Here is a 26,684-nt window from a genome sequence, read left to right as displayed (position 1 = left end):
ATATTTTTATGAAAAATGTGGTCAGCTTACTCAAAATTGTCAGTATTTCCCTAACGGGCCTTTTCTTCAAGGTACCCAGACACCTCTGTGTGGGTTGGGGTTCACGTCCCACCCATTCTGTGAGAATCAGCTGATGTCTTTGCATTTTTGTAAAGCCTGACCTGCTTTCTTCCACAAACCTTCCTTCTCCCATCTCCCACTCCACCTATGGAGTGCCGCACTCTGCCTAGCATTTCATTATACACCATCTTTTATTGTTATGTGTGGTTAATTTCATCTCCTCAACAATATTGCAGTCTGGAGGAAAGGAATATCACCTAAGTTTCTCCCACAACTTCCATGGGGCCTCACTGGGGGCTAGGCATATGGCAGTTCCTGTTTTAAAATCAAAAAATAAAAAGATTGATTAATTTGTTTGTGTCATTCAGGGCAGGGACCCTTTTAGTCTCTATCACAACCCTGCATTGAACTTGTAAATATTTTACTATTGGTTAAAACCCTTACCACAGCACCAGATTTCTATTCTAATTCTAAGCATTTGATTTTATAAACACACACACACACACACACACACACACACACACACACACACACACGGACTTCAGAAAGTTCATGGAAAAATTGAATTAAAATACATAAATAAAAAATGCAAACTTTATTTCTCAACATAAGTGCCATCAAGGTCAACATGTTTTTGTAAGTGATGATACCAGCCACTTAGTCCATTCCTAAAGAACTGAGGGTCCTGGGAATTTACCCATATCAATGCAATCCTTTTTATATTATTAACTGAAGAAAAATGGGTACCCTTTATAGATTTTTAAGATTAGAAACCAAAAAGAAGTCAGAAGGAGCCAAATCAGGACTGTAAGGTAGATGCCTAATAATTTTACCTCAAAACTCTCCCAAAATTGCCCTCATTTGACATGGGCAGGAGTGTTGTCAGAGTGGAGAAGGACTCTCTGGTGAAGCCCTCCCAGGCATTTTCTGTTAAAGCTTTGGCTGACTTTCTCAAAATGTAATCATAATAAGCAGAAGTTATCAGTCTCTGGTCCTCAAGAAAGTCTCCAGAAAGTTTTTTGGGATGCTTAAGCAAAATGCCTTGAGCATCCCAAAAAACTGTTGCCATGACTTTTAATCTTAACCAACCCACTTTTGCTTTGACTGCACCACTTCCACCTCTTGGTAACCATTTCTTTGATTGTGCATTGTCTTCAGAATTACACTGATAAAGCCATGTTTCATCTCTTGTTACAGTTCTTCAAAGAAATGCTTCAGGATCTTGATCCTACTTGTGTAAAATTTCCATTGTCTGCAGCTGATCTGGCCTCAACAGTTTTGGCATCCATCAAATGGAAAGTTTGCTCAACTTTAATTTTTCAGTCATAACTGTGTAAGCTGAACCAAGTGAGATGCCTATTGTGTTGGCTTCTGTTTGTGCTGTTACACCAGTCCTCTTCATTTGGGGCATGGACAAGATGAGTTTTTTCCTCACAGATTGATGTGGATGGTCTGCCATGGTGAGCTTTATCTTAAATATCACCTCGTCCTTTCTTAAAATGAGTTATCCATTTGTAAACTGCTGATTTTGGGGGGTGCATTGTCCCCATATATTTTTCATAAAGCATCAATAATGTCACCATTCTTCCACCCAAGCCTCACCATCAATTTGATATTTGCTCTTTCTTCAATTTTAGCAGAATTCATGTTGCTCTGATAGAGGCTCTTTTCAAACTGATATTTCATCCTTCTTAGTGCCTCAAGGAGATCCCGTTCAGACATGCTATAACAAATTAGTATGAGCTTCTTTTAGTGCAAAAAAAATTTGAAATCTACACATAGTTTTCTCATTAAATGCATTTTCCATGAACTTTTAGAAGTCAGTCCCCTTGTGGCCGGATGTGGTGGCTCACACCTGTAATCCCAGCACTTTGCGAGGCTGAGGCGGGTGGATCACCTGAGGTCAGGAGTTCGATACAAGCCTGGCCAACATGGTGAAACCCCGTCTCTACTAAAAATGCAAAAATTAGCCTGGCAAGGTTGCAGGTGCCTATAACCCCAGCTACTCAGGAGGCTGAGGCAGGAGAATCACTTGAACCCAGTGGGTGGAAGTTGCAGTGAGCTGAGATCACACCACTTCACTCCAGCCTGGGCAACAGAGTGAGACTTCATCTCAAAAAAATATATAATAATAATTAAAAATAAAAAAAGAAGTCAGTTCCCTTGTATATATTTGGCATGTAAAACTCAGGCCTTAGTTTCACATATGTACTAAGGAAAAATGGTTTTAGGACTTTGTAATTTTGTCCTAGAGCTATAGGTAGATATAAAGTGCTATCATTTATTTTTCAGGCTTATCTTCTTTCTCTCCCCTCACTATGGGTGTCCTCCCAAGCGTCAGTGCTAGACTCTCTAACTAACCATCTGCTCTATGGAAGTTGCTTATGAAGGGACACACTATTCTCTCCAGGTGATCACTGTCAAATCTGCATTTCCACAGCAGCTTTTCTCTGCGCTCCAGCCAATGAGTCAGCTAGGCAGAAGGTATAATATATGGGGCACAGACAGGGGAGTATGGAGTAGGGAGTTTGGGGAGTTGGACAATATCAGGAAACAGGGAATGTTTTCAAAATATTTATAGTAGATGAGATTTAGTAGGTCTCGGGTGGGACTTGGGCAACTGTATGTCAAGGGACTCAGTGATTCTGATTTCAGAGAACCACAGTTCCAGAACTCTTAGTTTCAATTCCTTATAGTACAACTTTAAAGGTTGCTATCAGCATAGCTCTACGACACCGTCTTCCCTTTCCAATTTCCCCATTTGGTTCAGTATTAATACTCTTGCTTTTTCTGAGAAATTGGAATGTTTAAGGGAGTTTAATTTGCCACATTTGTACATTTGATGTGTTAGGTTGATAAGAATTATTTAAGTACTTGGGGGAGGTTTTGCTTATTAGGTTATAAGTTAGCTCTTCAGGCATTTGAAATGTTTAAAATAAAAACTGACTTGTTAAATTTATAAATACAGTTTAAAATGTTTAAGGAGATTTAATTATCTACTTTGTAAATGGTACTGAATTGTTTAATTAAATTTGGTTTCTTTAATATCAGCTCACCAAATATTAATCATAGAAAAGTGAATTATTCTTCATTTGCATAACAAGATTAGTAATTTAAACTCAAGAAAAACTAGATTCTTAATTGTGTAATAAAAATGGAATATTAATTTGCTATCCCAGTAAGTGTAAATAGTTTTTTCTACTTCTAAAGATTCCTTTCCTGCCCAAGACCTAAAAACAAATGAATAAACCTCCACAATATCAAAAGATAGAGCCTAAATATGTTTAAATGTAAATGACACTTATTCCCCACAGTTTCTATACTCCTTATGGTTCTGAAATTTCTGGAATATAAGTGACTCAAAACACCCTTCATTAATCTGACGAGATGAATTATGAGCACCTTTCAAGTTATCTTTTAAATACAAAGTTCCTTCAACATTGGATATGTAATTTGGAATACATTGTACTATGGAATGGAATTTGCTCACTTGGTGAGTACATGATTTGTGTTAATCCAAGCCTATCACTAAATAAATTACGGAGACTCTTCTGTTAGCTAGAAAAATATCTCAGACCTGGCTGGGCGCAGTGGCTCACACCTGTAATCCTGACACTTTGGGAGGCTGAGGCGGGTGGATCACAAGGTCAGGAGTTTGAGACCAGCCTGGCCACCATAGTGAAACCCCGTCTCTTCTAAAAATACAAAAAATTATCTGGCCGTGGTGGTGGGCACCTGTAATCCCAGCTTTTTGGGAGGCTGAGGCAGGAGAAATGCTTGAACCTGGGAGGCGGAGGTTGCGGTGAGCTGAGATCCCACCACTGCACTCCAGTCCAGACAACAGTGCGAGACTCCATCTCAAAAACTAATAAATAAATAAATAAATAAAATAAAAATATCTCAGACCTGACGCCTCCTCTTCTCCTCCAACTCCCCACCTACATTAGTTTTGAGTCTTAGGGTAATCCAAATGAAAAAAAGAATTGTGACGCCAGCAGATCCTAACATAAATGTAAAGCCTAAAGTCTTCAATATTGGGAAAGTTGACATAGTAGACTGTTGTTTTCTCACTTTCAGACTGTGCACGTCTGCTCCTATAAAACTGCAAATGAAGCCATTACTACTGTGCAGGCACACTGCGCCTGATTAAATGCCTAGCCAGGCTCCATAGCATCTTTCAAGCACTGTCACTCTCTTGCCACATTGACTGGGCAGGAGCAAATGGCCTATGCCATGGCCTGTCATGATCACTTCACGCTATAGATGACCACTTTTTTTTGTCGTTGTTCTTGCTTTGGAGGCTTCTTGCTATTCATATTTTTACTATGGAAACAAAAATTCCTATGACACTACCTTCTGAGTTAGTTTAATTGAAGGGTACCTTGGGATTGCAGGAAAATTGTAAAATACAAAAATAAAAATAAAAATTACCATATGTAAGTACTTATCATGTGAATCAAAGTGAATCAGGATTTTTCTTAGTACCGTAAAACCAAAATAAAATTCAGAAATAAATTGGATACTTGGATGCTAAAGCTAATGCAAGATGCAGCTATCTTCCATCACCCCCAGAATTAAAATGTTTATGTTTATTTAATCGGTTTTCTTTATCTTTTGGTCGACTCTATTATAAACGCAGGTTATATGTTTAAAACTATAACATAAACCATGCTTACTTTAACAACCCAGGTTTTTTGTCTGCTTTATACCACTAGTATTTCACATAAGATTTCATTTTCAGAAAGTGTTCTCTCCTAAGGAAAGTTTCAAAAGCCACTGATTTATTAGGCTAAGAGCCTCCTAGTTTTCCTCTGGGATTCCAGTCCTTCCCTTCTTTATCTTACCTAGAGCACCACCAACATAGTAATTTTTCCAAAATTTTGTTATATATTCTCCCTCTTCAATAATCTATACAGCCACTTTGTAGACTATGAAATTAAATTCAACGTTTTCAACGTGGCTTTCCAGGCAGACATAATCTGGTCCTACTCCAGTTATCCAAATATGTTTACGTAGTCACCCATACAGACTCTGTAGTCCAGGAAAGGTAAGTCTGTTGTGCCTCTACTTCCTTATCTCCTGCTCTTGACAGATCCTGCCAATCCTTCTGCACTGAGCCATAGCTCACTGGTCACTGGCTTTTTTTGGTAAGGCCTGCCCCTTGTGTGCCCTGTGTTTTGGTGAATTATGTTCTTAAACCTGAGACTTTTGCCCCTCTCCATTCACCTACTCTAATTCCTTCTTATCCTTCACAGTACACATATGTATGGAGGCTGCATTAGCTTCCTGAGTGCATGATGATCTCTTCTTCCCACTGATTTATAATTTAGTTTTGCCTAAGAGCTTTCTTTGTTCTCTGGTCTTCCTTCAGGATCACAGATGTCTACATTTCTTCACAAGGTTGTGATGTCTGTAGGGATCTATTCTTGAAAGGTAGAAGGTAACTTGGACAAGAGTGGTAGTAAAAGGGGGTAGATTGATGATAGGTTTAGGAGACAGGATTAAAAGAGCTGGAGATAGATTGGATGCAGAGAAGGAGCATGAAGGAACAGTCCAGGATTCCAGCTTAAGCAATTGGGTTGAAGAGATACGATCCATTCATTAAAATGAGCAAAGGTAAAGGGGGAATAGATTAGATGTGGCTCTGGCTGGGAATGCAGGTATTATGGAGTGAACATGAGTTCAATTTGAATATGTTAAGTTTAAGAAGCATATGGGACCTCCCAGGAGAAATGCCAAGTGGCCATTTAGGTATATGGCAATGAAGATTAGTAGAGAGGTCCAGACTGTCCCAGACATTTGGAGGTCACTGGTGTATAAAAAGCATTTAAAGCCCTTAGGATTAGAGAAGTCACCTAGGGAGAAAATGTAGAAAAGAAGCAAAGAGAACCACCAGTCTCTTGTGAGTTATGTTCTCATCAGTCAGATTCCTACAGCCTATCAACTCCGGATGGGTTAATAAAATCAGGTTTCTTAACTGGAACAACTTCATAATCATTTCTTCCTCCGTCATGACTCCAGTAAGGTAGCTAGCCAAAACAAACAGCAGACCATTCCATCATGGCAATTCTATTTTAAAACACAGCAGAGATTATTATCCCCATTGTACAGAGGAAAAAGTGACTATGAAAGCTTAAGCAATTTAGTTAAAACTGCAGAATCAGTGAGTGACAGACAGGAATGAGATTAAATTCAGGGCATAGAATTGCAATTAAGAAGAGCTCTTTCTACCTTTCAAGAATAGATCCCTACAAGTCATCACAAGCTTGTGAATAAATGTAGACATCTGTGATCTCAAAGGGAACACCATAGAACAAAGAAAGTGCTTAGGCAAAACTAAATTATAAACTGATGGGAACAAGAGATCATCATGAACTATTATCCTGTGATTAGATTATTGCAAAATTCTCCCAACCGGTCTCACCATCTCTAATTTAATGACCCCTCCAAACCATTTTTTAAAATTTTTATTTATTTATTTATATAGTTTTTGAGACAAGATCTCACTCTGTCACCCAGGCTGGAGTGCAGTGGAGCAATCATGGCTCGCTGCAGCCTTGACCTCCCCAGGTTCAGATGATCCTTCCACTTCAGGCTCCTGAGTAGCTGAGACTACAAGTGCGTGCCACTACACCTGGCTAATTTTTGTATTTTTAGTAGAGATGGGGTTTCACCATGTTGCCCAGGCTGATCTCAAACTCCTGGACTCAAGTATCCACCAACCTCGGGCTTCCCAAAGTGCTGGGATTACAGGCGTGAGTTACTGCACCTGGCCTCCAATCAATTTTTCACACAGCAACCAAAGGATCTTTTTAAAGCGCAAATCTCATCATATATAATTTTATCCTTACATATCATATTCAAAATAAATCCAAACTATCTCCAAGTGGCCACTAAGGGCCTTTGTGACCTGGTCCCTGCCTACCTTTCCAGGCTCATTTCCTGTGTGCTCTTCTCTCCCTTGATCCCTTCCAATCCGTATCGGCCTTTCCAGATCCTCAGATACACTAAGCTCTTTACTACCTTCTGCTTTACAGCTTTCCCCTCAACCCATCATCTGGTTAACTCCTAGCTCCACTTAAAGTTTAAGAAAAGACTTTCCTAATCCTCTAACACAGTAAGTAGCACAAGATGCAATTATATTTTTATTTGTGTGATTATTTGTTGTCCGTCTTCCCTCTGGACATGAGGGCAGGAACTACTTACCACTAACTTATCTAACTTACCACTGTATAGTCACAGTGACAATTAGAGCCAAGGTATTTGTAGGGTCTCAGGAGAAACTTTGTTCTATGAGTTTTACCTGTGTTGTCTCTCAAGCACATGCCTCTTGTTTGGATGGTGCTGGATAAACATTACTAATGCCTGCCCTCCCAGCTTTTCAGTTCCTCTGCCCTTCTGCTAGATCCTTGTGTGTACATGCAATTACGTTGCTTCAGACAATCAGATTATAATATTGACTGGGTAATGGAATTACTCTACTAATAATAACAGTAGTCATGCCACCAATATCACACTTGAAGGTTTTCTAGGCCGGGCGCCGTGGCTCACGCCTGTAATCCCAGCACTGTGGGAGGCCGAGGGGGCAGATCACGAGGTTAGGGGATCGAGACCATCCTGGCTAACACGGTGAAACCCCGTCTCTACTAAAAATACAAAAAATCAGCCGGGCATGGTGGCGGGCGCCTGTAGTCCCAGCCACTCGGGAGGCTGTGGCAGGAATGGCGTGAACCCGGGCGGGCAGAGCCTGCGGTGAGCCGAGATTGCGCCACTGCACTCCAGCCTGGGAGACAGAGCAAGACTCCGCCTCAAAAAAAAAAGTTTTCTAAATGCTCATAGTGAGCATTATCTCATTTAATCTCGGAGTCTGGACCCGAAGATGCATTCTGCTACCTCAATTCATCTGGATGATTCCCAAAGCTGTATCAACAGCAGCTTATATTCAATTCATCACTGAAGGAAGGGCAACTTCAGCTGACAGCTGATTTTATGCTTTTTTAGTAGTTCCATCTCAAGACAGTGACCTTTACATTACTCAAATTCTGGGGACTCTTACTGTATGTATCCCTCAGTTTACTGAATATAATTCCTTCTAGGATTATTGGAATGGATAAATGAGATAATAATAAGTAATATTTGTTGAATGCTTACTATGCTCTGGACAATGTTTTAAGTGCTTTATTTTTTATTTATTTATTTATTTTTTTTTTTTGAGACGGAGTCTCGCTCTGTCGCCCAGGCTGGAGTGCAGTGGCGGGATCTAGGCTCACTGCAAGCTCCGCCTCCCGGGTTCACGCCATTCTCCTGCCTCAGCCTCCCAAGTAGCTGGGACTACAGGCGCCCGCCACTACGCCCGGCTAATTTTTTGTATTTTTAGTAGAGACGGGGTTTCACCGTTTTAGCCGGGATGGTCTCGATCTCCTGACCTCGTGATCCGCCCGCCTCGGCCTCCCAAAGTGCTGGGATTACAGGCGTGAGCCACCGCGCCCGGCCTAAGTGCTTTATTTGGACAAATTTATTCACACCTCAAAACTCCCCACGAAGTAGGTAGCATTGTTATGCATTGTTATACTCATTATAAAGGGAGAAATTGAGACACAAAGAGTTATACCAATTATTACTTTGCTAATAAGTGGGGAAGTTGGAATATGAATCCAGCAGTCTGATTCCAGAGTCTAGGCCCTATGCAGCATGTATGTGAATGCTTACTCTTTGGTAATATTTATTCTTTAATGACATTACTTTTTAATGTATTTACCTACATTTTAGGGAGAGCTTACTGTGTGCCAGGCATTAAGTGCAGTGCAGGAACATAGTTTGCACTCTAGTGAGGAAGGTGGATTTGAATGATGATTGTAACAGTGATGAGTGTTATGACTGTGAGGGACCTGTGTGTAGTGGGAGCATAGAGCAGTGGGACTCAGTCTAATCTGGGGCTCAGAAAGTGCCTTCTTGAGGAAGGAACCTTTTGGTAAGATGTGTGCATAGTGTGACAGCGCATTCTATGAATGACTGAGGAACTAAAAGAAGTCAAGACAGCTGGAGTTTCTTGAGCAAGGAGGCAAGTGGAGGGAGATGATGCAGAACCAAGCACTGGCTCCCATCACAAGGGCCTTGGATGCCATAATAAGGATCTGGTACTTTATTCTAAAGGTCTTGATGTCTATTAAAAAGATCTCAAGTACAGATTTTGGAAAAGACTGTGCCAGCCGAGCATGGTGGCTCAAGTAATCCCAGGAGTTTGGGAGGCCAAGGCAGATCACTTAAGTTTAGGAGTCTGAGACCAGCCTTGGTAACATAGGGAGACCTTGTCTCTACTAAAAAAATCAAGAAGTTAGCCAGGCGTGGTGGTGCACACTGTAGTCCCAGCTACTGGGAGACTGAGGTGGGAGATCACTTGAGCCATGGAGGTAGAAGCTGCAGGGAGCCATGATCACACCACTGCACTCCAGCTTGGGTAACTAAGTAAGACCCCATCTCTAAAAAAAAAAGACTGGCCGGCTGTGGTGGCTCATGCCTGTAATCCCAGCACTTTGGGAGGCCGAGGCAGGCAGATCATCTGAGGTAGGGAGTTCGAGACCAGCCTGATCAACATGGAGAAACCGCATCTCTACTAAAAATACAAAATTAGCTGGGTGTGTTAGCACATGCCTGTAATCCCAGCTACTCGGGAGGCTGAGGCAGGAGAATCGCTTGAACCCAGGAGGTGGAGGTTGCAGTGAGCCGAGATCACACCATTGCACTCCAGCCTGGGCAACAAGAGTGAAACTCCGTCTCAAAAAAAAAAAAAAAAAAAATACTGTTCCAGCAGAGGGAAGTGGGAGTGAGAAGGCAGAAATCAGTGGGGAGGTTGTTGCAATCTTCCAGGAGAGAAGAGCTGGTTGTGTGAGCAAGGATGGTAGCAGGGGTCATGTGAGAGAGTGGGTGGGTTCTCAACATATCTCGGAGGTAAAGTGGACAGAACTTGGTGGTTGATCGGATGTGGAGGGTGAGAGGAAAGAAGGAGCCAAGCTTTCTGACTTGAGCAAAGTTTTGATAACGGAAATAGAAATGGGTAAGAGGAATGAAAGCAGTTTAGGGTAAGGGGATTGACAGAATAATGAATTGAATTTCAGGGGCATCGAAACAGAAGTGGATGTGTCCAACAAGTAGGTGGATTATAAGGGTCTAAAGCTGAGCAAGGAGAGGTGGGCTACAGAATATCTTTAATCTTAAAATGGACATTATTCACATTTATTATTTCCAAAATTATCATGTATCTTAAAATTCAGTTTGCTTGCTGGGAGCGGTGGCTCATGCCTGTAATCCCAGCACTTTGGGAGGCTGAGGCGGGAGGATCACAGGGTCAGGAGATGGAGACCATCCTGGCCAACATGGTGAAACCCCATCTCTACTAAAAAAAATACAAAAATTAGCTGGTTGTGGTGGCACGTGCCTGTAATCTCAGCTACTTGGGAGGCTGAGGCAAGAGAATCTCTTGAACCAGGGAGTCGGAGCTTGCAGTGAGGCGAGGTCATGCCACTGCACTCCAGCCTGGTGACAGAGCGAGACTCCGTCTCAAAAAAAAAAAAAATTGCTTGCTTATCAGTGTTTCTTTTCTCATGAATATTATTACAAATTAATGATAAACTGTAATTAACAGTGTCTTAAAATAGAGGATATTCTATGAAGTAAGAATATCCTATAAAGGAACAATTAATTTGTTTTTAATGGTGTTTTGAGAAATCGGAGAAAGAGCCTTTAAAATACCTTTTTATCTTGAAGAAAGATATGTTTAGCCTAGGTAAAATTCAGCACTAGCATGAATTTTGGCACAAATGCCAAATTGGTACAGTCCAACTTAATGGGGCTTTACCATAATTATTAACGGGCTTGAAGCGTTTATTCTTTTTAAATAAGTCCAAATCCTTCCTTCTTTCAATTCTACCTCCAACACAATTTTGCTTACACCATTAACTTCATTAGCAGTCTCTATCTCCATGTTACAAAGGTACGCCTTTGTCAACGTGGAATACAATAATGTGTCTGATTTTTAGGAACTCAAATTAATATGATTTTACTGTAGTGTGTTTATGTTTCCCCGAGCATAAAATGCTGAATCATGGCCGGGCGCGGTGGCTCACGCCTGTAATCCCAGCACTCGGGAGGCCGAGGCGGGCGGATCACAAGGTCAGGAGATCGAGACCATCTTGGCTAACACAGTGAAACCCCGTCTCTATTAAAAAATATAAAAAATTAGCCGGGCGTAGTGGCGGGCGCCTGTAGTCCCAGCTACTCGGGAGGCTGAGGCAGGAGAATGGCGTGAATCCGGGAGGCGGAGCTTGCAGTAAGCCGAGCCCAGATCGCGCCACTGCACTCCAGCAGTGCAGCCTGGGCGACAGAGCGAGACTCCGTCTCAAAACAAAACAAAACAAACAAACAAAAAAAACAGCTGAATCATGGCAGTGTTTCACATATTCATTCCTCCATCCTCAGCCATATAGGTGGGAGAAGAGGTAAAGAAACCGTAAACTTAGTTTAGAAGAAGAAAGACTTTACCAACATCCCATTCTCAAATCCTACATCATTTACTGTCTCTAAGGTGTTTTTGGTTTCTGGGGGGTTTTTTGGCCAATATACTGTCTTCCACTGTTAATGTTTATATTTATTTATTTTTGAGGTAGGGTCTGGCTCTGTCGCCCCAGCTGGAGCACAATGGTGTGTTCTCAGCTCACTGTAACCTCTTCCTCCTGGGCTCAAGCGATTCTCCTGCCTCAGCCTCCTGAATAGCTGGGACTACAGTTGCATGCCACCATGCCCAGATAATTTTTGGATTTTTTAGTAGACGGGGTTTCGCCATATTGCCCAGGCTGGTCTCGAACTCCTGAGCTCAGGCCATCCACCTGCCTTGGCCTCCCAAAGCACTGGGATTACAGGTGTGAGCCACCACACCCAGCCTCCATTGTTAATTTAATATTCATAAATGTGTATATAACCTTCCCAATGCGATATTAACCTAGCAGGGGAGCAAATAACTATGGCTACTCCCCGACAATCTTTACGTCTGAGATCTTTACCTAGTTTTCTGTTCCATTCCTACCAGGTCTTCCCAGGCCTTCCAACTAGGGCCATCCAGATCTCAGAAAGATCACTCCTTAGCATAGTCAAGGTTCAGGGAATGTTTTGAAACAAACCATTACTTCCTAATCTGTTCTTCCCTAATCTCCAAACCAGATAAAGAGATTACAAGAAAGAAAAACTGCCAGGCACAATAGCACACATCTGTAGTCCCAGCTAGTTAGCAGGCTGAGGTGGGAGGATCACTTGAGCCCAGGAATTCGAGGCCAGCCTGGGCAACATGGCGAGATCCTATCTCTTATTTAAAAAAAAAAAAAAAAAAGACAAACAGAAAAACTACACAGCGGTATCTCTCGTGAACATAGATGCAAAAGTATTCTAACACAAAATATTAACAAATTGAATCCAACACTATATAAAAAGAATTGTATACTGTGACCAAGTGGGATTTATACCAGATATATAAGGCTGGCTCAACATTCAAAAATCAATCAATGTGGCCAGGCACAATGGCTCATGCCTGTAATCTCAGCACTTTGGGAGGCCAAGGCAGGCGGATCACCTGAGGTCAGGAGTTCGAGACCAGCCTGACAAACATGGTGAAACCCTGTCTCTACCAAAAATACAAAAATTAGCTAGACGTGGTGCCAGGTGCCTATAATCCCAGCTACTCGAGGCTGAGGCAGGAGAATCGCTTGAACCCAGGAGGCGGAGTTGCAGTGAGCCAAGATTGCACCACTGCACTCCAGCCTGGGTAACAGAGAGAGTCTCAAAAAAAAAAAAAAAAAAAATCAATGTCACCCACCATGTCAACAGGCTAAAAAAAAAAAAATCATATGATCATATCAATTGATACAGAAAAAACATTTGACAAAATCCAACACTTATTCATGATAAAAACTCTCATCAAACTAGGAATAGAGAGAACTTCTTCGACTTGATAAAGAGCATCTACAAAAAGCCTACAGCTAAGATCATACTTCATGGTGAGAAATTGTATGCTTTTCCTGTCTGATCAGAAAAAAGGCAAGGACGTCCCTTCTCATCTCTCCTATTCAACAATGTATGGGAAGTCCTATTAGTGCGATAGGACAAGACAAGGAAATAAAATGTACACAGATATGGAAGGAAGAACTAAAACAAGCTTTGACTAAGAAACAAGTGGAAGCATCTCCAGTTTCTTTTTTTTTTTTTGGAGACAGAGTCTCGCTCTGTTACCCAGGCTGGAGTGCAGTGGTGCAATCTTGGCTCACTGCAACCTCTGCCTCTCAGGTTCAAGCGAGTTTCCTGACTCAACCTCCCGAGTAGCTGGGACTACAGGCTCATGCCACCATGCCTGAATAATTTTTTGTATTTTTAGTAGAGACAGGATTTCACCATGTTGGCCAGGCTGGTCTCAAACTCCTGACCTCAAGTGATCCACCTGCCTTGGCCTCCCAAAGTGCTGGGATTACAGGTGTAAGTCACCACACCTGGCCTCAAGTTTCTTTTCGAATTTATAGACTTTCTTTATTGCATATTTGTTTTCTATTTCAAAGGTTTCTGCTGTTATCTTTTTATTATTGACTTCCTTCGGGTTTAATTTGCTGTTCTCTTCCTAGCTTCTTAAGATAGAAGCTTAAATCATGTGAATTTGCAATCATTCTTTTTCTCAAATGTATACATTTGAAGCTATGAATTTCTTTTTAACCACCCCCCCTTTTTTTTTTGACAAGAGTCTGGCTCTTGTTGCCCAGGCTGGAGTGTGGTAGTGTGGTCTCGGCTCACTGCAACCTCCACCTCTCGGGTTCCAGCAATCCTCCTGCCTCAGCCTCCTGAGTAACTGGGATTACAGGTGCATGCTACCACACCTGGCTAATCTTTTGTATTTTAGTAGAGACGGAGTTTCACCATGTTGCCCAGGCTGGTCTTGAACTCTTGAGCTCAGGCAATCTGCCCACCTCAGCCTCCCAAAGTGCTGGGATTGCAGGCGTGAGCCACCACACGCGGCCTTTTAACCCTCTTTACTTGTATCTCAGATGTTTTGATATGCCTTATTTTTATTATTATTTAGTTTTAAATATTTTCTAATTTTATTGCTATTTCTTCTTAGACTTATGTGCTATTTAAAAATATGTTGCTTAATTTTCAAACACTTGTTGGGAGGGGTTTCTAGTTATCCTCCTGTTATAGATTTTTAGTTGGATTCCATTGTAGTCAGAGAACACACTTCATACAATTTCAGTCCTTTGAAATTTTTGAGACTTGCTTTACACGCTAGCATATGGTCCATTTTGATAAGTATTCATGTGCTCTTGAAAAACAGTATTTAGTCTGCATTTTTCAAGTGCAGTGTTCTATATATGTATGTCAACTAGGTCAATTTAGTTACTTCTGTTATTCAAATCTTATATATCCTTACTGATTTTTTTGTCTGCTTGTTCTATCAGCTATTGAAACAATCTCTAATAATGATGGTGGATTTGTCTATTTCTCCTTTTAGTTCTGCCAACTTTGCTTAATATGTATTGAAACCATGCTGGGTAACATTTTTTAAAAGATTTATAAATTATAAATTCTTAGGTATATTTAAATTTAGGACGGTTAATTGATCTTTTTATCATTATGAGACATCCTTCTTTAGAGATATTTCTTGCTCTAAAGTCTGTGCTGTCTGATATTAATACAGCTCTACCAGCTTTTTTTTTTGTTACTGTTGGCATGGCATGGCATTTTGTTTCTCCTATTCTTTTTTTTTTTTCTGAGACAGGGTTTGTCTCTCTCTCTTGCCCAGGCTGGAGTACAGTGGCATGATCATGGCTCACTGCAGCATCGGACTCTTGGGCTCAAGAGTGATCCTTCCACCTCAGCCTCTGGAGTAGCTAGTACTACAGGCCTGTGCCCACCATGCCCAGCTAATTTTTATTTATTTTTATTTTTTTGATACTGAGTCTTGCTCTGTTGCCCAGGCTGGAGCACAGTGGCATGATCTCTGGTCACTGCAACTTCCACCTCCCAGGTTCAAGTGATTCTCCTGCCTCAGCTTCCAGAGTAGCTGGGACTATAGGCTTATGCCACCACACCCAGCTAATTATTGTATTTTTTTTAGTAGAGATGGGGTTTTGCCATGTTGGCCAGGTTGGTCTTGAACTCCTAGCCTCAAGTGATCCACCCGCCTCGTCCTCCCAAAGTACAGGAGTACTGGAATTATAGAAGTGAGCCACTGTGCCCAGTCTCCATGTCTCCATTCTTTTTCTTTAAACTTTGTGTCTTCTATTTAAATTGAGTCTCTCTCTCTCTCTTTTTTTTTTTTTTTTTTTGAGACAGTCTCATCTGTCACCCAGACTGGAGTGCAGTGGCGTGATCTTGGCTCACTACAATCTCTGCCTCCTGACTCAAGCGATTCTCCTGCCTCAGCTTCCTGAGTAGCTGGAATTACAGACATGCACCACCATGCCTGGCTAATTTTTATATTTTTGGTAGAGACAGGGTTTTGCCATGTTGGCCAGGCTGATCTTGAACTTCTGGCCTCAAGTAAACCACCCTCCTTGGTCTCCTAAAGTGCTGGGATTTCAGGCATGAGCCACTGCGCCCAGCCTAAATTGAGTCTCTTGTAAACAGAATACGTATTTTTCTTTTTTGTCTTAAAGTAATTCTGATCTTCTAATTGGGGTACTAATCCATTAACATTTAATGTAATTATTGAAATATTTATGTTTAACTCTATTACCTTGTTAACTTGTTTCTATTTCTGTTCTTTATTTCTCCTTTCTTGCTTTTTGAGGGGAGAGAATCAAGTACTTTTATTATTCCTTTTTTTCCTCTCTTGTTTTAACTTATTGGTTATCAGCTTTAAGAGGGGGTCTCACTCTGTTGCCCAGCCTGGAGTGCAGTGACTATTCACAGGTCTTTCTCGGGGTTTCAACCAATAGTTTTTACCTATTCACCTTGGTGGGCTTTGTTTTTCTATCTTCTCAGTACCATGCTGCTGCAAAAATCTTTGCCCAGCTCTCCAGCCTCCTAGCTGCTGCTTTTCTTTTGGTTCTCCTGCAGTCTCTGCTTGTGCTTGCTCAGCTTAGGAGTTTGCAGACATCTCAAGGGGAGATTGCATGTAGCCTTTTGGGTTTATTTCTCTGCAACTCTCTCCTCCTTGAGATTTTACCATCAAGTCGCAGCCACTTGAGCAGCTTTAAACTCTAATCCGTCTCTTCAGCCTAATGGAACTGCCACTTACTTTATTCCCTGACCTGTGAGTTGGGCCAGGGTGAGTATAGAGATCACTTTGATGTGCCTCCCTTCTCTTAGGGATCATCTGTCTTGGTTGCCCTCCAATGCTTTCAAATGTTGTGCTATGTACTTAGTCCATCTGGTACAGTTGTTTTCAACGGGAGGGTTAGCTCAATATAAGCTACGCTGTTATGGCTGGAATCAAACGTCTTCTATTTTACAATAAATAAAAAATCTAAAAGAATTCAAAAGACTGGAATAAGGAAATTACAAAAGCACAAAAACTGAATCACAGATTACAAACTTCAGTCCTAATCTAAAGCCATCCTTAAGTCTTCTGAATTCAGCATTCTGTTTAGAACAAATGCACTCTTTTCTCATCTTCAGTTTGGTTCCTTGGCAAGAGCTTTGACCTAGACTAAGAAAGTCATGGTTTGGTCTCTGGACTTTTATATAAAAAGTATGTGATTCTGGACAAACTTATTTTTATCACTTAGTTTTATCACTAGTCAGGGAAGATGGCCCTTAAAGCCTGCTTGCCTTAAGTCCTTTAAGGAATAAGCTGGGTATAAGTAAATAAATAAATACAATGTGAAGTGCTTGCCCTGTCTTCCTTGCAGAGTTGATATGAGGTCAGCTTAGCTGTAGAGGCAAAGTTCACAAGGGTGCCTTCCCCATAGGGATGTGGGTGCTTTTACAAATTTTCCAGCTCTTGGACCATTTCTTCTCATGCTCTATTTTTCTCTTATCCCCTAATTAGAGCTGTGAATTAGACAAAAACATGATTGCAATTTCCTCCCCCATCTGGGTCAGATTGTCCTGCCTAACCTCTAAAATAAAAGAGAACACAGGTGTTTGAGTGGGATGCCGGGTCAGGAGAGCTGGCTGGCCAGGTGAGCCTGACCGGAGAAAATTCCCTGTGGACAGGCCAAATAGGACCCCAAACTATCAGAAAGGTTTTGGTCAATGTGGAATCTGAACAAAAAGGGCTGTTTATGTAATTCAAAAGTAGAACAGTATTAAGTTCAGGCAGCCAGATGGATGTGTTCTCATGATTGGAATGACCTTTTGGGCTGAATTTTGGGGCCTGATGGGACATGCCTTCAGAGGCACAGCCTCACTTTGTCTCTAACTCTGCTTTTTCTAGGCTTTGTGTCTGACAATCCCCTTCTAGTTGTCATATCCTCCTTTAGGTGTTTTACCAACTTCAGCTTGGTTGATATCCTGCTGGTCTCTTCATGGTCACCTTATGTCTCTGCTCAGGTGCTTTATGTGCTCAATTTCCATTGTTTTTAGAGCACATTGTTGCTTTCTGTTCCCAAATTTGCAGGGAAGACCTTATTATAATCCCCATGTCCACAGTGCATAATGGACCAGGTGCTTTATCTCCTGATCTTCACTCCAGTCTGGAAGGTCATCAGCTTCATTTCCACAAAGATGTGGAAGCTGAGGATGATAGAGGCTAAGGATCTGCCCAAGGTTGGACAGCTTGAATGTCACAGAGTTTGTGTTCAAACTGAGGGCTTACCCCAAACTCAGAGTTCTGCCTGCTGCTGCTGTTGCTGCTGAATAAGCACCAGGTTGTGAATTATTCCAAATTTTCAAGTCACCTGTAGAGGAAAGGGGAACTAAAAGAAAAAGTGATTTAGTCAAACAAAAAACTTCCCAATGTAGCATACCTTTATGTCTTTTTGCCTTAATTTGTGTTTCTTTTCCTAGAATTCCGTCTGTTTATATCTATTGAACACCTACTATGTGCCAGGAACACATAGTAATACAAAAGACATGAAGGCTATGATCTAGTAAGAGTGTAATTGGTACAACCTCTGAAGACGGTAAGTTAGCAATATTTTTCATCTTCCAAATGTGTATAATCATTGACCAGAAATTCTACTTCTGGAATTACTCACATATGTCCATAAAGCCTATAGTCTAACTGTGAATATTGGAATATACATAATAAATGCAAAGTATATAATCCCAAATTGAGATAAGTATCACAAAGGAAAAAAGAGGTGCATTAATCAGGGTTAGACCAGAGAAACAGTGCCAGTATATAAATATATATATATATGCGTATATACATATATACACAGACAGAAGGAGAGCAAGAGATTTGTGACAGGAGTTGGCTTATGTGATTGTGGGGACTGACTAGGCAAGTCTGAAACTGTAGGACAGGCCAGCAGGCTGGAAACTCTTGAGCAAGAGCTGATGTTGCAGTCTGCAGGTGGAATTTTTTCTTCTTCAAGGAAACTTGTTTATTCTCTTAAGAACTTTCAATTGATTGGATGAAGCCCACCCAGATTAGCAAAGATAATCTACTTCAAGTCATTTTTAGTAGATGTTATCACACCTGCAAACCTTACTAGTAACTCCTAGGTTAGTGTTTGACTGAATAACTGGGTACTGTAGCCTAGCCATGTTGACACATAAAATAAACCAGCACAAACAGGTCAAAACTATGTTGCTTAAGATGCATTCAACAGCAAGAAACAGATAATCTAAATCCAACTACCTTAAACATAGGAAATGTATTGGCCTACAGCATGGGTTGTCCAAACATAGGCTGGGGTGTCTGGCTCTGGCCGTCCACTTGGCCCTCCCACCTCTGGGGGAGGGATTTGTGCTCAGGCTGCCGGACAAGATGGTGGTGGCAGTTCCAGACCTCATCTTCTGTATAAGGAAGAGAGAAATTATCTCTTCCTGCAACTCTCTGAAGAGTAGGAAATTTTTCAGATGCCTCCAGCAAAACTCTTGTCACATCTCATTGGCCTGAACTGAGTCATGAGTCCACTTTTGGGCTAATCTCTGTGACTAGGGAATAGCATGCACTAAATGACTTAGTACTGAGGTCCTGAGTCAGTCACCAGTGAGAGGAATAGATGACTATAATTCCCTTAGTCCGGAGCCTCCCTATCTTTTCAACAAATAATAATGCTTACATAGCTAGCAGATTGGAATGACTCAAAGCAAGCATCCTGGGCCTCCAGGTGGCCCAGGATTCAGCTGGCTATCCCAAAGGATAAATGTCTTTGCATATCAATGGGTGGCAGTATATATATTGGATTAGACCACCTGGGGACAGGATCCATTCCTAAACTACAAGGCTTCTACCCAATGTGGGAGGAGTGCAATGGCTATTGAGCAGACCATGGGTAGCGAGGGGTAGGAAAGGTTTAAGAATCAAGGATGTTTCCCAGGGTTCTGGTTTCAGTAACTGGGTAAATTCCAGTGGTGTCCTGGGTCTCAATTGCACTGGCTCTCAAGAGCCAATTGTATGCATTTTGTCCCAACTCCATGTTCATTGGTGGGAACCGATACAATTGATACAAATTGGCAAATGATACAAATCAGTGCTTTTTATTGTGGTGGGGAGGTATCTTTTGTTCAACCTTGATCAGCACATCATTAGTAGAGCCATGCCAAAAAGACAGGTGCACTGGAGGAAGGACAGGCTTTGCCTTTAGCTCCCTGTTGCAATCCTGCTCCTTTTTTTTGTTGTTGTTGTTAAATTGAGGTAAAATTTACATAACATAAAATCCACTATCCTTTTCATCCTTTTTGAAGTTCACTCAAACTCATGTATTACTGCTTCTTTATTTATTCTTCATTATAATAGTATATTTCTTTTTAGGCTGGATGTGGTGGCTCACACTTCTAATCCCAGCACTTTGGGAGGCCGAGGTGGGCAGATCACTTGAGGTCAGGGGGTTGAGACCAGCCTGGCCAACATGGTGAAACCTCATGTCTACAAAAATACAAAAATTAGCCAGGCATGGTGGTGCATGCCTATAATCCCAGCTGCTAGGGAGGCTGAGGCCAGGAAAATCACTTGAACCCAGGAGGTGGAGGTTGCAGTGAGCTGAGATCCTGCCACTGCACTCCAGCCTGAGCAACAGAGCAAGACCCCATCTCAAAATAAATAAATTAATAATAATAATAATAATAATATTTTATTTATTTTTGAGAAAGTAATACATTTACATGGTTCAAAATGCAGAAGGTATATACAAAAAAGATATACAGTAGAAGGTCTGTCTCCCCGTCTGTCCCCCAGCTGGCCAATTTCCTTTTCTAGAGATAAGTGAATGGATTTTTAAAATATACTTCCAGAAAGTTATACAATAATAAATATTTAGAATATTTCTAAATGCATTTGCACACGTGTTACCCACATATACATGCACACACACACGCATTGCTCTCTCCTTGCTTTTCTTCATTTAATAAAACATCTTGAAGATCATTCTATACCAGTACATGCAGAACTTCCTTAGTCTCTTCTACAGTTCTGCATAATAATCTATTTGCAAATCAACAGAGCAGTTGCAAATAAATTTCTCTGTACTTGCTTTTTTCATATATATGGGTATATCTATAGGATAAAGTCCTACAAGTAGAATTTCAGGTCAGGGTTATATACATTTGCAAAATAAAAGATATTGTTTAAATTGCCTTCTGGTGAGATGGTACCACTTTACATTCACTAGCAACAGGTAAGATGCTTGTTTTCTCACAGCCTTGCCTGCAAAGTACATTATCAAACTTTTTGCAGTCTGTCGATCTGATAGGCAGAGAATGATATATTAGCGTAATTTAAATTTAAATTATATTTAAATATGGTAAAATTGAATTATTTAAATTAACTTATGAAAACATTTTCTTACATGTTTATGAGGCACCTCTATTTCCTTTTTTGTAAACTATCTGCTTGTATCCTTTTCCTTTTTTTTTTTTCTGTTGGGTTTTTGGTCTTACAGTATTAAGTTTGGAGTTCTTTTTATCTGAAGGAAATTACATGTTTGTGATGAGAGTTGCCAACACATTTTTCTCATTTTGTCATTAGTCTTTTTTTGGCTTTGTTTCTGGAAGTTAAAAAAAAAACTGTATATTGTTCAAGCTATCAGACTTTTATGGTATTTTGGCTATATGTAATACTTAGAAAGGTCCTCCTTACTCCAAAAACTTTTTTTTTTTGAGACGGAGTCTCGCTCAGCCGCCCAGGCTGGAGTGCAGTGGCGCAATCTCAGCTCATTGCAACCACCATCTCCCGGGTTCAAGCAATTCTCCTGTCTCAGCCTCCTGAGTAGCTGGGATTACAGACACCTGCCATCATGCCCAGCTGTATTTTAGTAGAGACGGGGTTTCATCATGTTGGCCAGGCTGGTCTTGAACTCCTGACCTCATGATCCACCCGCCTTGGCCTCCCAAAGTGCTAGGATTACAGGGGTGAGCCACCACGCCCAGCCTCCAAAAAGTATTTTTAAAAAACCATTTTTTCTCTATTACTTTTATTCTTTTATTTTTACACTTAAAACTCTGCATCATCTGGGTTTTGTCCTGTTTTTTTTCCCATGAGACTATGGTTGCCTTAATATTATATGTTGTAATATTCATATTTTCCTCCACTGTTCTGAAATTCTATTTTTTAGACTTGAACTTATAGAAGAGAAAGCTGTTAAGTATTGGTAACTGGGCTTTATACAAATGAGAAATTTCCCTGTCTTTGGTGAGTGGCAGCAGAAGCATATAGCTACCTGCTTAAAACGATAGATGTCTATGTGTGCTTTAATCTCTTATTAAGCATTCTGTGTGTGGGGAGAGTGGAACAGGGAGCACAGGTTGTTATGACACTTGAGAAACTGAGTTACACAATTCATTGATTTTTTTTTTTTTGATGGGGAGATTATACAAATCAGAGAAGGAATCAAATATAGAAAAAGCTCTTTTTTGCGCCTCTGCTTTCAGTTGCATGGTTAGTTCCTCCTGTTATCAAGAAGTTCCTTGTTTATTTCTTGATGGGGTAGCATAAGTTTTGCTATTAACTATCACCACACAAAACAAAAATGAGCACAGTGAAAAATACATTAAATATTTCATATGAAAGAAAGTAAAGTTCCTAGCCATAAAATAAAACATTTTGGTCATTGTTTTGGAGGATGGAGAATATCATCTTGACCAAAGCTAATCTTGGCATCAGCATCTGTAGCTAGTGGAAACATCAACAGTCATTGTTTATGAGGGGAGAGAGGAAAGGAAAAAGGAGGAACTGCAGATAGCTGACAGAGTGACCGGAGGTTGTGGCTCTGTCACAAGCTGGTCTCCGGAAATGGTCTAGGCCCGGGAGATGAGGGCTTCTTTGGTTGGAGGAAGTAAGTGGCCAGGGCAGTGTGTTCATTATGGGCTTCACCTTCTCCATGGGGTGCTGAGCAACTGAGCAGAGCTGGGAGGTCGGCGAGGCTGCCTGTTGGAGCTCATGGAGGCATCCCACCTAGAGGAGAAGAGGGCTTGGCCAGCTGAAGCTTGAAAATATCAGTAACTTTGTCTTCCAAACTACACCTAGCAACCCAGAGAATCTGGAGTGACTTACTTCCCCCCTTCTTTTGTCCACACACTCTGCTTTCTTGGCTTGTAGTGGCTTCTTTACCCTTTGTGGGGTCCTTGGTGTTAATTTTCATTTGATTTCACCTGTATGTATTGAAGTGGGGAAAAGGAGGCCAACAGGCAGAAGAGGTACATTATGGTTGTCCCAACTCTACAGAATAACCCTGGGCCCCATGTGCCCTCCCCACCTGAGGAAATCTTACAGAGGGCATGAGCAGAGAGCAACCTGTGGGGTCTTTGCTGCTGCCCCAGGGTGGACTGTTAACCAGGGCTCACTGGTCAGGGCTGATTTTAACTTGTTCTTTGCCAGTTTGAGAAGGAGGGGGATCTTGTCCTTGGTCTTGTTTTTTCAAACCCCCAACTCACCCTTATTATCCTCTGACACTCTTTAGGTGGCCCTGTGGCTCTCAGCACCTGATCAATGATCCCTTCACTCTTAACATCATGAAACAGAGGGAAGACCCTTTTTCCCCTGTCATGGCTGCTAAGCCCATTGAGTAAAAAAGTCCAGCTCACTGACACGACTCTATTCTCAAGTAAAATATTAAACCTATTGAAAACCAAAATGAGTGATTGAAGCATAAGATTCAAATCATCCAGGTTTTGAGCCAGTGTGAGGGCGTGCCCGGGAAAAAAACATGAGTCACAGAAGCATCTGTGGCTGTTTTTTCCAAAGAGATTCTCAGGAGGTTTAGTATTTATTCATTTTCCTTTAAAAGGGGTGGAGGAGGGGTGACAGTGAGACCAATGAGAATGTATTTGTGAGACTTAACTAGTGCCCCCAAAATCTACATTTTACACAAGGTAAGGCCAGCATTGAAGAAAAAGGGAATAGAGGAAGCAGAGGTCTTGGGGAGTGATGAAGGAACCATTAACCTCATCTTGTCTTTGTACTGTGTCTGGGAAGACAAGCTAGTAGTCTGTTGAAAGGGCTGGTTTCTGTTTAGACCTTCGAGAAGGAAACCTAATGACTTTTATCGAGGGAGGAGGTGTCAGACTGTGGCCATGAATTCAGCTTCCAAGGTTTCTTTGGGGCTCCTTTGGCCAAGAGAGGGTCCATTCAGTCAGTTGGGGGCTTAGAATTTTATTTCTCACCATGTTGTGTAAAGAAAGTACTAAATTATTAAGTACATATAAGACAAATATGATTGCATTCCTAGTATGTCTGTGTCTTGAGGGGTAGGAGAAAAAGGAGAAAGAGAATGTAATTGTAGAGAAACCAAGGAGAAAAGAACGAGACAAGATATAGGAAGGGGCCATGGATTCAGTGGAGGAAGGTGACAGTGTTTACTCCTGTATAGCCGCCCTCCCTTTTGACATGCCAAAATTTAAAAAGCCCAACTATTTACAGTTTTCCATTTTGCTTCCATCTTTAACTATAAAGGGTCAGTTCTGATTGAGGTAGCCAAACTGTCGCCACAGTGGAAATCATTTTCTAACCTGGAAAAGCAAGAACTTAAGTTAACTACATCAGGGTCCCATCAGAAGCCAGAGAACTGGAGAACCCATCTATTGCCTGAAGGTCATGGTTGTAGTGAGGACTAGGGGTACAAACTATGCATGTCTATGCCACCAGGAATCTGTATTTGAAGGTCATCTCAAGGATTCTGATACTAGTGAAAATTATTGGCAGGTCTCATAAATATTTGCATTTCAATACAGACCTCTTAAATGCCAAGTCTCCTGCAGTTCACAAAGGAATGAGTCACTAATGGTTAAACTTCAGGCGCCACTACAAGTAGAGATTTGTTTCTCGGGGTGAGGAGGAGGAAAACTTTTTCTAGTTTTTTTCGAATAATTTTTTTTTCTTTTTTAAGTTTTAACTCTGCCATAAGCCAGAGATGCTCTCCCTTAAGAGATCCTTTCTGGAAATATTTATGTCAAAACACCTTCTCCCTATTTTTCACCTCCTTTCTGACCTTGTACATATGCTAAGTGCTGCTTATTCAGTACTTGCTGCTGGGAAAAGGGAGAGGTTGTAGGGGATGGGGCCTCCCTCTCTTCAGTTATTACCAGCTTCTCTGGCTCCCATTTCTGCAGGGTGACAGGGAGGGTCCCACCCACTGTGACTAATGCCCCTGGTGAAGCACTTAATTGCTGCCCCCTGAAGCATCTAGTGGCCCATGTGCTACACCCCCACTCTGAGGATGATCCATAAACTCCTGCTGCTGCAGGGGGTGTTTTGCTGCAGGGGGAGTTTTGGTTTTGGGGATGAAGGTGGAGAATGAGTCACTTTCCATTCATTTTCTAGAACCTTCTACAGCAGAGTGCCTTTAGAGAGTTGGGTAATGTAGCCTCTCCTAGTTAATAAAGCCAATGACAATTTCATGCCTAAGAACGTCATTGGTTTGAGGGCAATGATTTGCATTTAATGAAAATAATAATTTTCCACAGCCTCTGAAAAACACAATTTGGCTTCACTGTAGTAGAAAGTGCTTACTTTCTTTCACACCAGCCCAATGAAGTTTTCAAAGTTCAGAAAACTTTCCTCACTAGCAGTGGATTAATAATTGCAGGTGGAAATGTCTTTGTCAGTGGGGTTGAGGTAACCAGCATGTAGAAGATTCTTGCCACCTAAAGCAAGAGGAACTGGTTTTCTGTGACCGGTTTTGTAACACCAGTGGGAAAGCTCCACAGCTGGTTTGTTCTGGATTTTCATGCCTGCCTCCTTCTCAGTCCTCACCTTCTGTCAACCATCTCTCCCTTGGTTTCAATTCCAGAAATGCAATCTTCCTGACATGGCTCTTCTCTGACAACCTGGGTACCCCGCTGCCTCTGGCCGCACCTTGCTTCTAAGACAAATAAGGAACTTTAATTTGGGCTCCCGAGTGGAAATAACAGATAGTTATCAAGAACAGAGGGCTCAGGCTGGGTGTGGTGGCTCATGCCTGTAATCCCACTTTGGGAGGCCATGGCAGGTGGATCACCTGAGATCAGGAGTTGGAGACAAGCCTGACTAACATGGTGAAACCCCGTCTCTACTAAAAATACAAAATTAGCCGGGCATGGTGGCACATGCCTGTAATCCCAGCTACTTGGGAGGCTGAGGCAGGAGAAGTGAGCCAAGATCATGCCATTGCACTCCAGCCTGGGCAACAAGAACGAAACTCTGTCTCAAAAAAAAAAAAAAAAGTAGAAGAACAGAGGGCTCTTGCTTGGGCTTGCTCAGAAAATCCCCACTTCAGAGGAGGGTGCAGCTGTCACTCCAGCTTCCTGGTTATGCATCCCTTGTCAAATTAACAGGAAGTTTAATTCTATTAAATATTAATCCTTGTCCTGAAGGCCTTGGTTGCTTTAGTAGAGAGAATTGAGGGTAGAAGGTGAAAGAAAAGAGAAAGGGAAAGAGCATGTAGAAGGCAAACAGAGGAAGAGAGATGAAGTCAGGGAGGATCAGAAGGTAGAGGGAAGAGAATATGAGGGAGAGGATGGCAGTTCAGCAGGTTAGTGGGGGAGTTTCTGATCTCACCACCTGCTCTTTGCCGATCAGCTCTCTTGCCACTGTTCCTGGCTCTGTCAGAGCTTTCATTCTTATTTTCTCGGAAAAAAATACATAATTACACAGTGAAGAAAGTCAGGTTAAAAATGGCATGTACAGTATGATTCCCTTTTATATTTATTTATTTATATATATATTTTGAGATGGAGTTTCACTCTTGTCTCCCAGGCTGGAGTGCAATGGCACGATCTCGGCTCACTGTAACCTCCTCCTCCTGGGTTCAAGCAATTCTCCTGCCTCAGCCTCTGGAGTACCTGGGATTACCGGCATCTGCCACCATGCCCTGCTAATTTTTGTATTTTTAGTAGAGACGGGGTTTCACCATGTCGGCCAGGCTGGTCTCAAACTCCTGATCTCAGGTGATCTGCCCACCTCGGCCTCCCAAAGTGCTGGTATTACACACGTGAGTCACTGCCCCCGGCCGATTCCCTTTTAAATACATGTTTGCATAAATATATTGAAAGCTATGAGTAAACAT

General features: G+C 41.6%; 1 long non-coding RNA gene across 5 annotated transcripts in view, besides 1 other annotated feature; it reads left to right on the top strand.

Annotated features, from left to right (window-relative positions):
* The window catches only part of LOC105370198 (uncharacterized), a 114,265-nt gene that overhangs the window by 37,876 nt on the left and 49,705 nt on the right, over positions 1-26,684 (top strand). Inside the window, exons 1-5 of one of the 5 annotated variants that reach the window (XR_007063790.1) lie at positions 825-1,520; positions 2,353-2,544; positions 3,375-3,553; positions 7,098-7,177; positions 18,043-18,158. This is a non-coding gene — a long non-coding RNA (uncharacterized LOC105370198). Of the gene's footprint in view, positions 1-824; positions 2,545-3,374; positions 3,554-7,097; positions 7,178-18,042; positions 18,159-26,684 lie in introns of those variants that run through there. The other 4 variants (XR_007063789.1, XR_007063792.1, XR_007063791.1 and 1 more) reach the window with 4 other exon arrangements.
* Positions 24,119-24,729: an enhancer, noted in NCBI's record as "NANOG-H3K27ac hESC enhancer chr13:48733841-48734451 (GRCh37/hg19 assembly coordinates)". NCBI's record gives its function as "activates a minimal SCP1, AML or CMV promoter by ChIP-STARR-seq in primed H9 embryonic stem cells {active_cell/tissue: H9 hESC(primed)}" and the evidence as "EXISTENCE:reporter gene assay evidence [ECO:0000049][PMID:30033119]".

The sequence above is a fragment of the Homo sapiens genome, chromosome 13 (assembly GCF_000001405.40).
Source record: "Homo sapiens chromosome 13, GRCh38.p14 Primary Assembly".
Taxonomy (NCBI): Eukaryota; Metazoa; Chordata; class Mammalia; order Primates; family Hominidae; genus Homo; species Homo sapiens.
Note: the sequence above shows the minus strand (reverse complement) of the source record. Positions and strands in the feature narration are given on the sequence as shown.